The following is a 12,357-nucleotide window of genomic DNA, read 5'->3' on the forward strand; positions in this document are numbered from 1 at the left end:
CTCTTCTCACATCAGCGGGTCCAGGCCCAACCGACAGACTATGGGGGCTCCGGCAACCAGGCGCTGCGTGGAGTGGCTGCTGGGCCTCTACTTCCTCAGCCACATCCCCATCACCCTGTTCATGGACCTGCAGGCGGTGCTGCCGCGCGAGCTCTACCCAGTCGAGGTGAGGGGCGCCCCTCTTATCCCGGCCCGCTGAGGCTCTCCCGGCGCTGCGTCCACAGGGCCTTCACCTCCTCCGCGCTCGCGCACTCTGGGTTCCAGTTGCCTCTCTCGGGTCCTGCCCATGCCTCCCCCGCTCCTAACCCAACTTTAGTTCGGTGTTTTCCTCGGGCTTTGTCTCTATCCCAGCCCCTTCTCCCAAGCGGCGGGGGCGAACGCTTTGTTTCCTTTAAAGTCACTTCTTCCCTGGGTTTAAGGTTTCCCGCGATTCCACCTCTGGCCGGTTGTCAGTGTCTGAGGGAAGTAGTCTGGATGAAGTGGTGTCCAAAGTCACATGTTAGGTTTGCTTTAAGCTTCTGGTTTTTTGTTTGTTTGTTTGGAAGGGCTTTAAAATACCAGTCTGATCCCAAAGAAAAAATCCGAGTAGAAATAGACCTGTCTGAAGGTTTAGCACCTTGGTTGGTGCAGCTGGGGCGTTCACAGATCGTCACTGCTTCGAGATCAGGTTCCAGCAACTTCCAGAGCTCAGGAGTAAATTGCCATCTTTTCAGATTGGCTCTTCAATATTGGGTTCGAGTAACAATGATCTCCTGAGTAAAAATAAAGGTGAAAATCCCGATTTCCTGGTTGTTGGAGAGCATTCTTTCAACCCCAAACTCTGCTTTAATGCTTTGTTTTTTTCTTCAAAGCTATAGTTTTAGTTTCCCGGTTCGTTGAGGTTTTTTTCTCGTATCTGGACCCTGTGACCTTCTTCCATGGAATTCCTGTCCTCAGTTTTGTTTCTCCATCTTATCTATAACTGTAGGCAGGACTGACTTGTCTACCCGAAGATTTTATTTTGCGTCTGTTTTTCCTTAAATGCTTTTTATCTGCCGAGGAGGGGTTCTTTACCTGAGGGTCATGAACTCCCAAAAATGGGTGCAAGTGTGTGTGCCTTTTGTTTCCTGCAAGGAGAATATAGCTTCCATCGACTTTTCAAGGGGCCTAACTCTCCCAAAAAGGCCACGGCTCAAGAATGTTCTACCACTCCCATAAGTCACTCTTTTTTGTTTGCTTCTAGAACCAAACACAACTGGAAGACCTCTGACCTCCTTTTGCATGGGAAAAGCGTAGGTAGCGTGTAGCAAGTTGCAGTCTGGGGACTTGGTTCTTCCAAGAACTGGAGGTGACTTGGGCAGGTCAGGGCTCTATATCCTCCTCAACTGTTGAGAGAGTTGAGTTAAATTATAAGCTCAAACATATACAGGGTGGGTTAGTTTTCATATTGCTGTTGTAGTTACCACAAATGTAGTGATTTAACAGATTTATTTGTTTACAGTTCTGGAGGCCAGAAGTTCACAATGAAATCTTACAGTGCTCAAATCAAGGCAGGGCTCACTCCTTCTGAGGGCTCCAGGGGAGAATCTGGTTCTTGCCTCTTCCATTTTCTGGTGGCTGCCAATGTTCCTTGGCTTGTGTTCACGTCACTTCAATCTCTGCTTCGGGTCATCACATTGCCTCCCTTTCTGTAGTCAGAGTTCCCTCTGCTTCGCTTTTATAAAGACACTTGTCATACATTCAGGGCCCACCAGATAACCCAGAAAATCTCCCATTTCAAAATCCTTAATTACATCTGCAAAGTCCCTTTTGCCAAATAAAGTAATAGTCACAGGTTCCAGGGATTAGGATGTGGTTATCTTTGGGGGCCATTATTCAGCCTACTACAGGGCCAGAGAGTACAGACTCTTCCCAAAGACCGAAGAGGTCATCGCAGCTCTGCAGTAACCATTAATTGCCCTGAAGAAAGGAAAATCTACTACAGTGTTGGCCTATCTGTGGTTTTTGAAACCTGTGTGGCCAGCAATACTCAGACAGGCTGCCTGTTTACAATCTCTGGTGTTATAGGACCTTTTAATACTTGGTAATTAGCCTGCTACTCCATGTAGCCATTCCAGACTTCACAGCTGTTGTCTTCTTTATCCTTCCTGGATGTGCCATTCTCACAAGCCCGTCTTGCTCACCCCTAACAAAATACACTTAAAAGGTGCTCAGCATCATATCATAAAGATCCCATTTAAATGTTTACATTTGATAAAATTTTCTCAGTCTTTTTTTTAGAAACAGGGTCCTTTGTCACCCAGGCTTGGCGTGCTGTGATGCAGTCATGGCTTACCACAGCCTTGAACCTGAGCACAAGAGATCCTCCCACCTGTCTCCTGAGTAGCTAGGACTATAGGTGCACACCACCACACCTGGCTAATTTTTTATTTTTTGTAGAGATGATGTCTTACTGTGTTACCCAGGCTGGTCTTCTGGGCTCAAGCCATCCTCCTGCCTCGGGCTCCCAAAGTGCTGAGATTACAGGTGTGACCCACCGTGCCCAGCGTCAGCTTTATTTTTTTAATGCTGACTTACTGCAGAAGGCCCAAGGGCCAGTGCAGGCAGCATCTGGCCAGAACCTGTGTGTGTGTGTGTGTGTGTGTGTGTGTGTGTGTGTGTGTGTTTGTGTGAGATTTAGGCATTAGCACGGGCATCCTGGGTGTGTGTGTATCTGTGTGTGTGATGATGTTTGAAGGCATTAGCTCGGTGGCATCCTGGCATGGAAGGTCTGTGCCTCCATTCTTGTTGCTTTGGTGTAGGAAATGCTGATTTTGTTGCTTCTCTATGGGGCAAATAATAATAAACGCCTTGAGTTATTCTCATATTCTCTTTGAAAAATGCCAAAATTTAACATCTGTCATTTTCTTCCTGAAATAGAAGGAATGTTTCCCTAGAGTTAAAAAACCTGTAGGAGATCACCTAGTGGTTGGGCTGAAACATGCACAATAAATTTTTTTTCTTGGATTGCACCAAATCACTGCTTGGAAAAACTCATTTTTTTATTTACTTTTTGTTTTTCTTTCTTTTTTTTTTTTGATTTTGTTTTTGAGACAGTCTCTTGTCGCCCAGGCTGTAGTGCAGTGGTGCAATCTCGGCTCACTGCAACCTCTGCCTCTCGGGTTCAAGCAATTCTCCTGCCTCAGCATCCCAAATAGCTGGGATTACAGGTGCTTGCCACAACGCCTGGCTAATTTTTATATTTTGTTATAGATGGTGTTTCACCATGTTGGCCAGGCTGGTCTCAAACTCCTGACCTCAAGCGATCTGCATGCCTCAGCCTCCCAAAGTGCTGGGATTACAGGTGTGAACCACCACGCCTGGCCTGGAAAAACTCTTATTTTATTATGAAACAGTAAGAATTTAGTTTGGATAAGAACATGGTAAGGAGAGGATGGGAAGCATTTTGTAGTATCATTTGCAGCTGGGTAACATTGCTTCTGGTAAAAATAAGGAAAAACAAGTGAGCATCTGGCTCTGAAATCAGTCTGTGTTCCCATTCTAAATTATAGAAGTACAAGATTGGTGAGTAGCAACCACTGGTTTAGAGATCGTGCGTGCAGGCCAGGTGAATCTTTTATGTATAACAAGGGTGGGTTGAGTCAAATAGAGTCAGGTATAAGTGGAAACAGTTTCATTACCTTTGGTAGGGAGGCCATAACTAATAATTTTTAATGACCAGTCGTGAGCTGCGATTTTAATGGGATTAAACTTGAATATCTCCAAATATGTATTAATTACATTCAATTAATCATTATGTGCTAGCCATTATTTTAAAGACTACATGTATTAAGTCACTCTCTTACCAATAGTGAAGTAGGCACTATTACTGGCTCTATTTTATTGATGGGGACACAAGTGTAGGGAGATTAAAGGCCTTGCCTAAAGCCAGGCACTCTACCCCAGGTCCTACACGCCTCACCCATCTGCCAGGTGCCTGGGCTTTCTACTCTCCTACTCACAATTAGTCCCAGCCTCATTCTGGCATCAGGTGGCAGGTATATGACTGTGGGCAGATGGTTGGTTACGATTATGATAATTCATTATTACGACATCTGGGTGATTGTTTTTTAAATTTTGCTGATCTCATCTTGTAGGCCTTAGAAATTAAAGTGCTGTACAAGTCTGCCTCAGTTTATGAAATAGTTGGATCAGAGAGGTTGTAAACAAATTGAATAGAAAGTGAAGTTCAAATGGCCAGAATGCCTTTTTTTTTTTTTAATTTTTTTTTGAGATGGAGTCTCGCTCTGTCACCCAGGCCGGAGTGCAGTGGCTCGATCTCGGCTCACTGCAACCTCAGCCTCCAGAGTTGCTAGGATTACAGGCGTGAGCCACCACACCCAGCTAATTTTTGTATTTTTAGTAGAGACGAGGTTTCACCATGTTGGCCAGGCTGGTCTCAAACTCCTGACCTCAGGTGATCCACCCGCCTTGACCTCCCAAAGTGCTGGGATTATAGGCATGAGCCACCGGGCCTGGCCCAGAATGCCTCTTAAATTTTGCAGTCAGGCCGGGTGCAGTGGCTCACACCTGTAATCCCAGCACTTTGGGAGGCTGAAGCGAGGATCGCTTGTGCCCAGGAGTTCGAAACCAGCCTGGGCAATGTGGCAAAACCCCGTCTCTACAGAAAATTAGCTGGGCTTGGTGGCGCATACCTGTAGTCCCAGCTACTGGGGAAGCTGAGGTGACAGAATCATCTGAGCCCGGGATGTTGAGGCTGCAGTGGGCCGAGATCAAATCACCACACTCCACCAGCCTGGGCAACAGAGACTGTCTCAAAAAAAATAATAATAATTTTATAGTCAATCTTTTAAAGCAGGTAGTGTCATCCAGTATTTTTAAAAATCTAAAAAGCAAAAAAGGGATCTTAAGAAAACATCTAGTCCAAGTTGCTCATTTTACAGATGAGGAAGTAGAACCCTGGAGAGGGACAGTGACTTAGCCTTTGTGTTTCTTATCAATTCAATCCTATTCAAACCACATTCCCATCCAGAAAAGTGCTTAGAAGGAAGCGAAGGGCATTGCTATGAATTTCAATTTCAAATTAAGTACAAATTTGGATATCCTTTGGTCAATAAATTGGTTATCTAGCCAAAGCCTTTCTGAAATTAATAATATGCTAACAGGATATTTGTTTCTGGATGTTTGCTTAAAGTGCTCTTGCAGCAGTGGGGCTTCTATTTCACAATAGCGAGGCTTTATCTTTTGATTAAAAATTAACAGGAAAAATATTCTTGGATTTTCCATTGTAAGTAAGATAAATTCTTACCCTGGAGTTGCCTTTATTAATCATAATATCAAGACTTATTTGTCTTTGAAGGCCTGTGTGTCAGGGCAGCGCCACATCTAGGAGGTTAAATGTGACAAACGTTTAGTAGTCCACATAGAGCCAAGAGCACTAGGCTTTGGGCTCCTATAAAAGCCCAAGATGGGAAGCCTTAAACTCTGCTTCTTTTCTCTGCCTGTAGCCAGGTCAGCATGGATCCGCATCCTTTTTATTTGACAAGGTAATTACAAGCGTGGGGCCCAAGCTAGAACTGAGACGCTAAAACCCTGCATAACCAAGAAGCTACTAGGTAGTTTGTAGTTTGGGGCAGAGTTTGTTCTTCCACTAAAATCCTGTCTCCTAAAATAAACCAAAAATTAGAATTAGGGGAGTTAAGGAACTTGTTTGTCATATTGGAATTAAAGTGTCCAAAATTACATCGCCACAGAGGTTAGATTTACTTCCCCTTTCACTCCCACCCCCACCCCGCAAAAAGAAGAGGGAAATTCAATTCATTTCTGCATTTGAGGGAATCTGGCCTTTGGAGGAGTTTGGTGTGTAGTTGCCATTACAAAAGGGAAAGTGTCAGGATGGTTTTCATGTGTATTTGTTTTTTTAAACAAAGAATGATATTGTTGACAGAAATGTCACATTTGTTCATTCAGCGAACACCCTGAGTGCCTACCAAGTGCCAGATACTTATTGTTGCTCCTGACAGTGGCCAACACACCTGGATGTGTTATCTTGGAATTATGAACAGATTCTGGGTAACACAAAGAAGGGGCTGGAAGAGTTGAGAAAATTTCAGAGAAGGGAACATTTGAGTTAGGGATAGTAAGTTTTTATTAAATGACCACCTAGGCTGTGTCACAAAAGCCAGCTGGACATGCCATCTGCTGCCGGGGTAGTGGGGGGTGGCTAATTAATGACAGGCTCCTCCAGTGTATTTTCAAATGAGCTAGCGCCGAGCCTGTTGAGGGCAAGTGGCTGTAATTCATCATGATCGTTTTCTTTTTCAGTTTAGAAACCTGCTGAAGTGGTATGCTAAGGAGTTCAAAGACCCACTGCTACAGGAGCCCCCAGCCTGGTTTAAGTCCTTTCTGTTTTGCGAGCTTGTGTTTCAGCTGCCTTTCTTTCCCATTGCAACGTATGCCTTCCTCAAAGGTTGGTAAATGGTGGGAAAATCCCATTTTTACTCAGAAATCAGGTCCCAGAAATCTTTTGGGAAAGTATCTCCAAAGGGAAGGGGATGGTCCCCATAGTTTGTGGGAGAATGCTACAGGATCTGGGGTAAATAGCCAGGGTAGATCTTGTAAAGGGACATTAGTGTGGCTCAGGCTCATGTCTGTGGTCAGCAGGCCTGCACGGCTGCCTCAGTCGTCTGGAAATCCCTTGCATACACATGAAGCCTGAGACCACTTAAACAATGAGCTTGTTCCCTTTTGTTTTGTTCCCCAACAGAATTAATTTCTCTTTTTGTTGGCTTTTATTTCTCTGCGTTGGATAGTATCATACTGACTTATAAGCTGTAGCATCAGGCTAATCCCTAATGTGCTTCTCATTTTAAAATTATTCTTAGTGTTCTCATATAATCAATGCTTTTTTAAAAAGGTGACCATACACGTGTACTTGATAAGCTAAAACCACTGAAAATGCTCGTTTCCCATTGGCACCCCCTGGGGTCACTGAATCTGCCTTCTGATCCTCTCACCTATATATAATTACTGAACAAACAGATGCCATGGGGCAGGGATTTCCCTCCCCTTGGATTTTGTACCACACAGGTTTAACCGGTAATGGCAGTTTTATTGCCCTAGAGCTTTTCCGAGTTATGTTCTGACCCCCATTCTTGGTTCTTTGGCGAGCTGTCGGTGAGCTGTCACGTAAGTCTGCATGTTGGGCAGTGTGGCACATCCAGGTTTCCAGTTCCGAGTTTCCACTTGGAGAAGGGAGTAGAAGAAAGCAGGCAGGCAGAGACAGTGGGAAGGTCATGGACACCTTTGAGTCATGAACAGACCTAACCATTTTTCTTTTCCCCTGACTACCTCAGGAAGCTGCAAGTGGATTCGAACTCCTGCAATCATCTACTCTGTTCACACCATGACAACCTTAATTCCGATACTCTCCACATTTCTGTTTGAGGATTTCTCCAAAGCCAGTGGTTTCAAGGGACAAAGACCTGAGACTTTGCATGAACGGTTAACCCTTGTGTCTGTCTATGCCCCCTACTTACTCATCCCATTCATACTTTTAATTTTCATGTTGCGGAGCCCCTACTACAAGTATGAAGAGAAAAGAAAAAAAAAATGAAGGAAACAACCACTGGCCCAGGGTAGAGATGCCTACAGGGTGGTTGCTTGTTGGATACAATACAAGGAACACTGCTCAGAACCCACGTCTTCAGCAGCATTTGAAACACTGGCAGCAATGCACAAGAGCAAGATGGTGTCAGGAACCATGTCAAACCCTCACCTTCTTCCATTTTTTTTTTTTTTTTAAGACAGTCTCACTCTGTTGCCCAGGCTGGAGTAAAGGGCAGTGGCATGATCTCGGCTCACTGCAACCTCCGCCTCCTGGGCTCAAGCCATCTTCCTTAGCCTCCCAAGTAGCTAGAACTACAGGTGTGTACCAACACGTATGGCTAATTTGTTTTGTTTTTTTTGTGTGTGTGGAGACAGGGTTTTGCCATGTTGCCCAGGTTGGTCTCGAACGCCTAGGCTCAAGTGATCTGCCCACCTCAGTCTCCCTAAGTGCTGGGATTACAGACGTGAACCACTGGGCCCAGCCCAAACCTTCACCTTCTAAGGGCACTGGGATGAACAGACCGATCGGCTTGAGGGTGGGCAAAGGGGTGTGGGCTAGGTTATAAGGAAGTGGTACCAAATAACTGTGTGCCTGAGTTCCACCGCAAGATTACTAAAAGCAGGACCAGACCAGAAACTGCTAAAGAACATGGCCTGTTTGACATGTTCATGAGTCACCTGACCCACAGCATATATGCTTATGACTAAACCCTCCACTCCTGATTCTCAAGAGTGTATCACCTGTCAGCAAAATGAATAGTGGGATATTTTGGGCCATTTTAAATGTGAAATTTTGCCTCTTTAATGTTAATTCAAAACTATATCAATGTTTTCTTGTTCCCACCTCTAACCCAAGGAAAAAAGAGAAAACATACTATGCAAAGGAAGTTTAAACTTAAGTTTTCCTTAAGGGTCAGCCCAACAATGACTTTCAGTCAAATGGATTAAACTGGAAAATGTTTTTGTTTCTGTTGTAAACAGATCATCCTAGGCGAAAGTTTTTTTTGTTTGTTTGCTTTTAAATTAGTTTATTTCTAAATCTTAGTCTTCCACATTTCTAGAGGCCACCTGACACAAGTCCCTGTATCTGAAGTCTAGCATCTCAAGGCTGATCTGGAAGTGTGCTAGTATGCTCCCTAGTGGATAACTTAATCTTTTAATACAGTTCCGTCATTCCCATCTTGTTTTCAGAAGAGAAGGTGGCTACAGCCAGGCATAACATATCCACTGTGTGCATAGAGGGTCTCTTCACGTTGATGCTTGGCATTCCATCAGCTTTCTCTAAGTCTTTGCTCAAGTTCAACCTTAAAATGATGTTAGACAACAGGTCCCAGTCAGTTCCCTCTATTTTCACCCATTTTGCTCACAAGCCATATTGGCCCGATTAGTGGTACTGTCTGACTCACGTGTGTGATCCAAATAAAGGTAGCTGCTGACCACTGCCTGGTTTGTTTTGTGGACTAGGGGATAGAGAATCCAGGGTTCTCTCATGAGGAGTTAAACATATTTCAAGAGCAACAGGAAAAAAGGTACATCAAGCCATTTGAAAACAAAAATTTATTGCTTCTCCTTCCAAAGCTTTGTGAATTTACAAAAAAAAGGATGAAAGTTTACAAACTGCTTAGTTCCAACTAAGCATAAGAGGTGAGAACGTACACTGCAGGGCCACCAGCAGCAGCTGTGCACTGATGTTAAAACTGGCTCCCCCAGACTTGTAGTGCTGTCTTCAGGGGGCTGCATTCCTTACACGCCACCTCTTGTGACATAGGTCATTGGTCAAGCCGCTGGAATGCTACAGAGGTTTTTTTGGTTTTGAGAGGCTTTTTTTTGTTTTGCCTTCCTACTATAAAAGCGAAATTTTCAGTTCATTTCTGAAAAATAAATTGGTCAATAAATTCATTTTGTTCTGCTTCTACTTTACACAAAGCTTCATATTCAACCCGATACCTGAAAAACAAAATTGTTAGAGGCCCTGAAAAAAAGATGAAGTAAACCACAGACCTAATTCTTCTAGAGAAGGATATAGAGGTTTAAATGATTTCAAGAAATGGTGTGAGTTCAGAATGAAGAAAGAAAGAGGCAAAGCCCTACCCAGAGCCACCCATGAGAAATCTCCAGCCCTAGGAAAGTCTTCTTTCAGAGAGCCAGCCAACTTCGTGGACCCTTTCATGCTCAAACTACTAGAGGTGGTTTGATATTAACAAGTTTTCTATTTCCTTCCCATCAAATGTAATTTTATTTTTTAAAATCTTCAAATCAGGATGACAAGTGAGATGCTATTCCTGGGAAAACAATGATGAAGAATAAGGACAAGAAGTGATCATTCCAGAAGGAAGAGTGGAAATTCAGCTGTGTAAAGAACTTGCTTTACATCATGACTTCTTACCTTTCTAGCTGCATTTTCTTTTCTGCTATTAGGGCTTGAAGTTGCTGCTGTTGAGCTTCTCTCTGCTTTGCTATAGATTTGAGCAAGTTCCGAGCACCGATGGCCTACAGTATTGCCAGAGAAGGCCATGGCTTCATTAAAACCATCTACAGCATCAAGTCCTCAAAGTGGGGAGGGGTTATCTGGGAGCTGTGTCAGTCTTCAGAGAGGAAAAGAAAGTGGAGCCCCAAAGCTTTTGGGTTAAGTCAGAAGGATTAACCTACTGATCACAAAGTGCCTCAAGAACTAGACGGCAGCTTTGAGGCAGGTCTAGGAGTATTCCTAGAGCCAGGGACACAGGCACAATAGCACATTTGGTGGTGCCATTCAGCCTTGTGCCTTTCACCAATCATACTATGTAAGCCTTCATTTCTTCATTTATAAAATGAGGATAAGACCATCTACATCAGTGCTGATATGAAGATGAAACGAGGCCAGGTGTGGTGGCTCACACCTGCAATCCCAGCACTTTGGGAGGCCAAGGTAGGCAGTTCACTTGAGGCCAGGAGTTTGCAACCAGCCTGGCCAACATGGTGAAACCCCATCTTTACTAAAAATACAAAAAAATGGCCGGGCGCAGTCACTCACGCCTTAATCCCAGCACTTTGGGAGGCTGAGGCGGGCGGATCACCTAAGGTTGGGAGTTTGAGACCAGCCTGACCAACATGGAGAAACCCTGTCTCTACTAAAAATACAAAATTAGCCAGGCATGGTGGCACATGCCTGTAATCCCAGCTACTCGGGAGGCTGAGGCAGGAGAATCGCTTGAACCCAGGAGGCGGAGGTTGCAGTGAGCCAAGATCGCACCATTGCACTCCAGCCTGGGCAACGAGAGAAAACTCCGTCTCAAAAAAAAAAAAAAAAATACAAAAACCTCAGCTGGGTGTGGTGGCACACACCTGTAGTCCCACCTACTCGGGAGGGTGAGGTGGGAGAATCGCTTGAATCTGAGAGGCAGAGCTTGCAGTGAGCCGAGATTGCACCAGTGCACTCCAGCCTGGGTGACACAGCAAGACTCTGTCTCAAAAAAAAAAAAAAAATAAAGATTAAAGGAAATAAAGATTGGCAAAAGTTCAGTAGGTTAAGTGGACCAGAAGTTATTAAAATCTTAAATAAAAATTCACCCACCCAGCCCTCTACCCCTCTAAATAAATCAAGAGGGAAGAGGGATGAGAGGGTAGTGAACTAGGGTCCCAGGCCAAGATGTAGGCGGAAGACATGCTGATCTTACCTTCATCTTTTCATTTTCTGCTTCTTTTGCAAGTTGATCAACAAGCTCAATTAAACCACCAACTATTTTCTGAAACTGGCCAATTTCTTTTAGGAAAAGAACAAAAAATAAAATATTTCCTTAGTATCATCACTCCCCTTCGGTAGAGTGCTAAGGCAGTGAGAGGGCAGAGCGGACTGCCCCTTCTAATTTGTGTTAAAATAGTTCGGTGTGGGCCAGGCGTGGTGGAGAGCAACTGTAGTCCCAGCTACTCAGGGGGCTGAGGTGGGAGGATCACTTGAACCCAGGAGTTAGAGGATGTGTGATCATGCCTGTGAACTGCCACTGCATTCCAGCCTGGGGAACATAGCAAGACCCTGTCGCTTAAACACTTTGGTGCCTGTTGGCCTGTCTCCTACCCTTGGTCTGAACCTAGAGAAGGGTGGCCAGCTGGACCAGGGCATACTCGGACCTTGCATCCCCACTGAGCCAGCCAGCCGCTATGACCTCCGGCTATGAAAGCACTAGGCCCTTGCTGGGCTCATTCTCCAGACAGACCCCAACCCTGCTTCCCCAGGAGTGACAGGAAGCACTGTTGTTCACAAAAGGGCAGCCTCAGGACACAAGCGCTGCCTCTGGACTAGCTACAGGTATGACACCAGATTTCAATTAACAGTGGGGATGGGGGCTTCCCACTTGTAACCACAAAAAAGCAAGCTCACAGCATTAAGTGCCTAATCTCCCACTCACTTTCTCCAATGTCCTGGATGTGACAATTTACTGAGGGGAAACTAAGGCCCAGAGAGGTGTGTGCATGGCACAGCAATCACAGGTTAGTGACAGAACCCAAGCTACCTTTCACTAACCAAGCTCTCTCCACAACCTAGGAAACCCCCCAGAAAGCTCAGAAGTCCCTTGTTCTAGCTAGATCTGGCTCTGTACGGGCATTGGGCTTGCTTGGCTGCTGGGACAGGAGGCTTCCTGAAGATTTCCAGCCAAAAGATGACTTCAGTAAGTCTGTTGAGCTGCTTCTAGAAACTTCACCTATCACTTCTAACTCCAAATAACAGAGAACCTGCCCCTGAGAAGACTTTCTCTGAAGAAATCAAATCATGAGTACATAATTCTATTTCCC

The 12,357-nt window shown here is 44.7% G+C and overlaps 2 protein-coding genes across 7 annotated transcripts in view, besides 2 other annotated features; one reads left to right on the top strand and one right to left on the bottom strand.

The window, feature by feature from the left end:
• TMEM97 (transmembrane protein 97) lies at window positions 1-9,486 on the top strand. Its single transcript, NM_014573.3, has 3 exons — window positions 1-166; window positions 6,304-6,448; window positions 7,335-9,486. The coding sequence occupies exons 1-3, from the start codon at window positions 41-43 to the stop codon at window positions 7,592-7,594; spliced, it is 531 nt and encodes a 176-aa protein (NP_055388.2). The 5' UTR covers window positions 1-40; the 3' UTR covers window positions 7,595-9,486.
• Window positions 65-124: an enhancer, noted in NCBI's record as "active region_11921". NCBI's record gives its function as "activates an Ori minimal core promoter by ATAC-STARR-seq in GM12878 lymphoblastoid cells {active_cell/tissue: GM12878}" and the evidence as "EXISTENCE:reporter gene assay evidence [ECO:0000049][PMID:35858748]".
• Window positions 7,970-8,019: an enhancer, noted in NCBI's record as "active region_11922". NCBI's record gives its function as "activates an Ori minimal core promoter by ATAC-STARR-seq in GM12878 lymphoblastoid cells {active_cell/tissue: GM12878}" and the evidence as "EXISTENCE:reporter gene assay evidence [ECO:0000049][PMID:35858748]".
• IFT20 (intraflagellar transport 20) overlaps window positions 9,127-12,357 on the bottom strand; it is a 7,147-nt gene continuing 3,916 nt past the window's right edge. For 3 of the 6 annotated variants that reach the window (NM_001267776.2, NM_001267775.2, NM_001267774.2), the window contains 3 exons: window positions 11,244-11,329; window positions 9,974-10,077; window positions 9,127-9,534 (listed from right to left, as the gene is read on the bottom strand). In NM_001267776.2, coding sequence (NP_001254705.1) covers window positions 9,453-9,534; window positions 9,974-10,077; window positions 11,244-11,329 — 272 coding nt within the window. In that variant the 3' untranslated portion in view covers window positions 9,127-9,452. Of the gene's footprint in view, window positions 9,535-9,973; window positions 10,078-10,911; window positions 11,030-11,243; window positions 11,330-12,357 lie in introns of all 6 variants that reach the window. The other 3 variants (NM_174887.4, NM_001267777.2, NM_001267778.2) reach the window with 3 other exon arrangements.

This window comes from Homo sapiens, chromosome 17 (genome assembly GCF_000001405.40).
Source record: "Homo sapiens chromosome 17, GRCh38.p14 Primary Assembly".
Classification (NCBI taxonomy): Eukaryota; Metazoa; Chordata; class Mammalia; order Primates; family Hominidae; genus Homo; species Homo sapiens.

What these genes read in the sequence shown, in the direction of transcription:
- TMEM97 (NM_014573.3), top strand. Translation starts at nt 41, where the DNA reads ATGGGGGCTCCGGCAACCAGGCGCTGCGTGGAGTGGCTGCTGGGCCTC. An exon ending in GCGAGCTCTACCCAGTCGAG is followed by an intron (nt 167 to 6,303) that starts GTGAGGGGCGCC and finishes TTTCTTTTTCAG; the next exon opens with TTTAGAAACCTGCTGAAGTG. An exon ending in AACGTATGCCTTCCTCAAAG is followed by an intron (nt 6,449 to 7,334) that starts GTTGGTAAATGG and finishes TGACTACCTCAG; the next exon opens with GAAGCTGCAAGTGGATTCGA.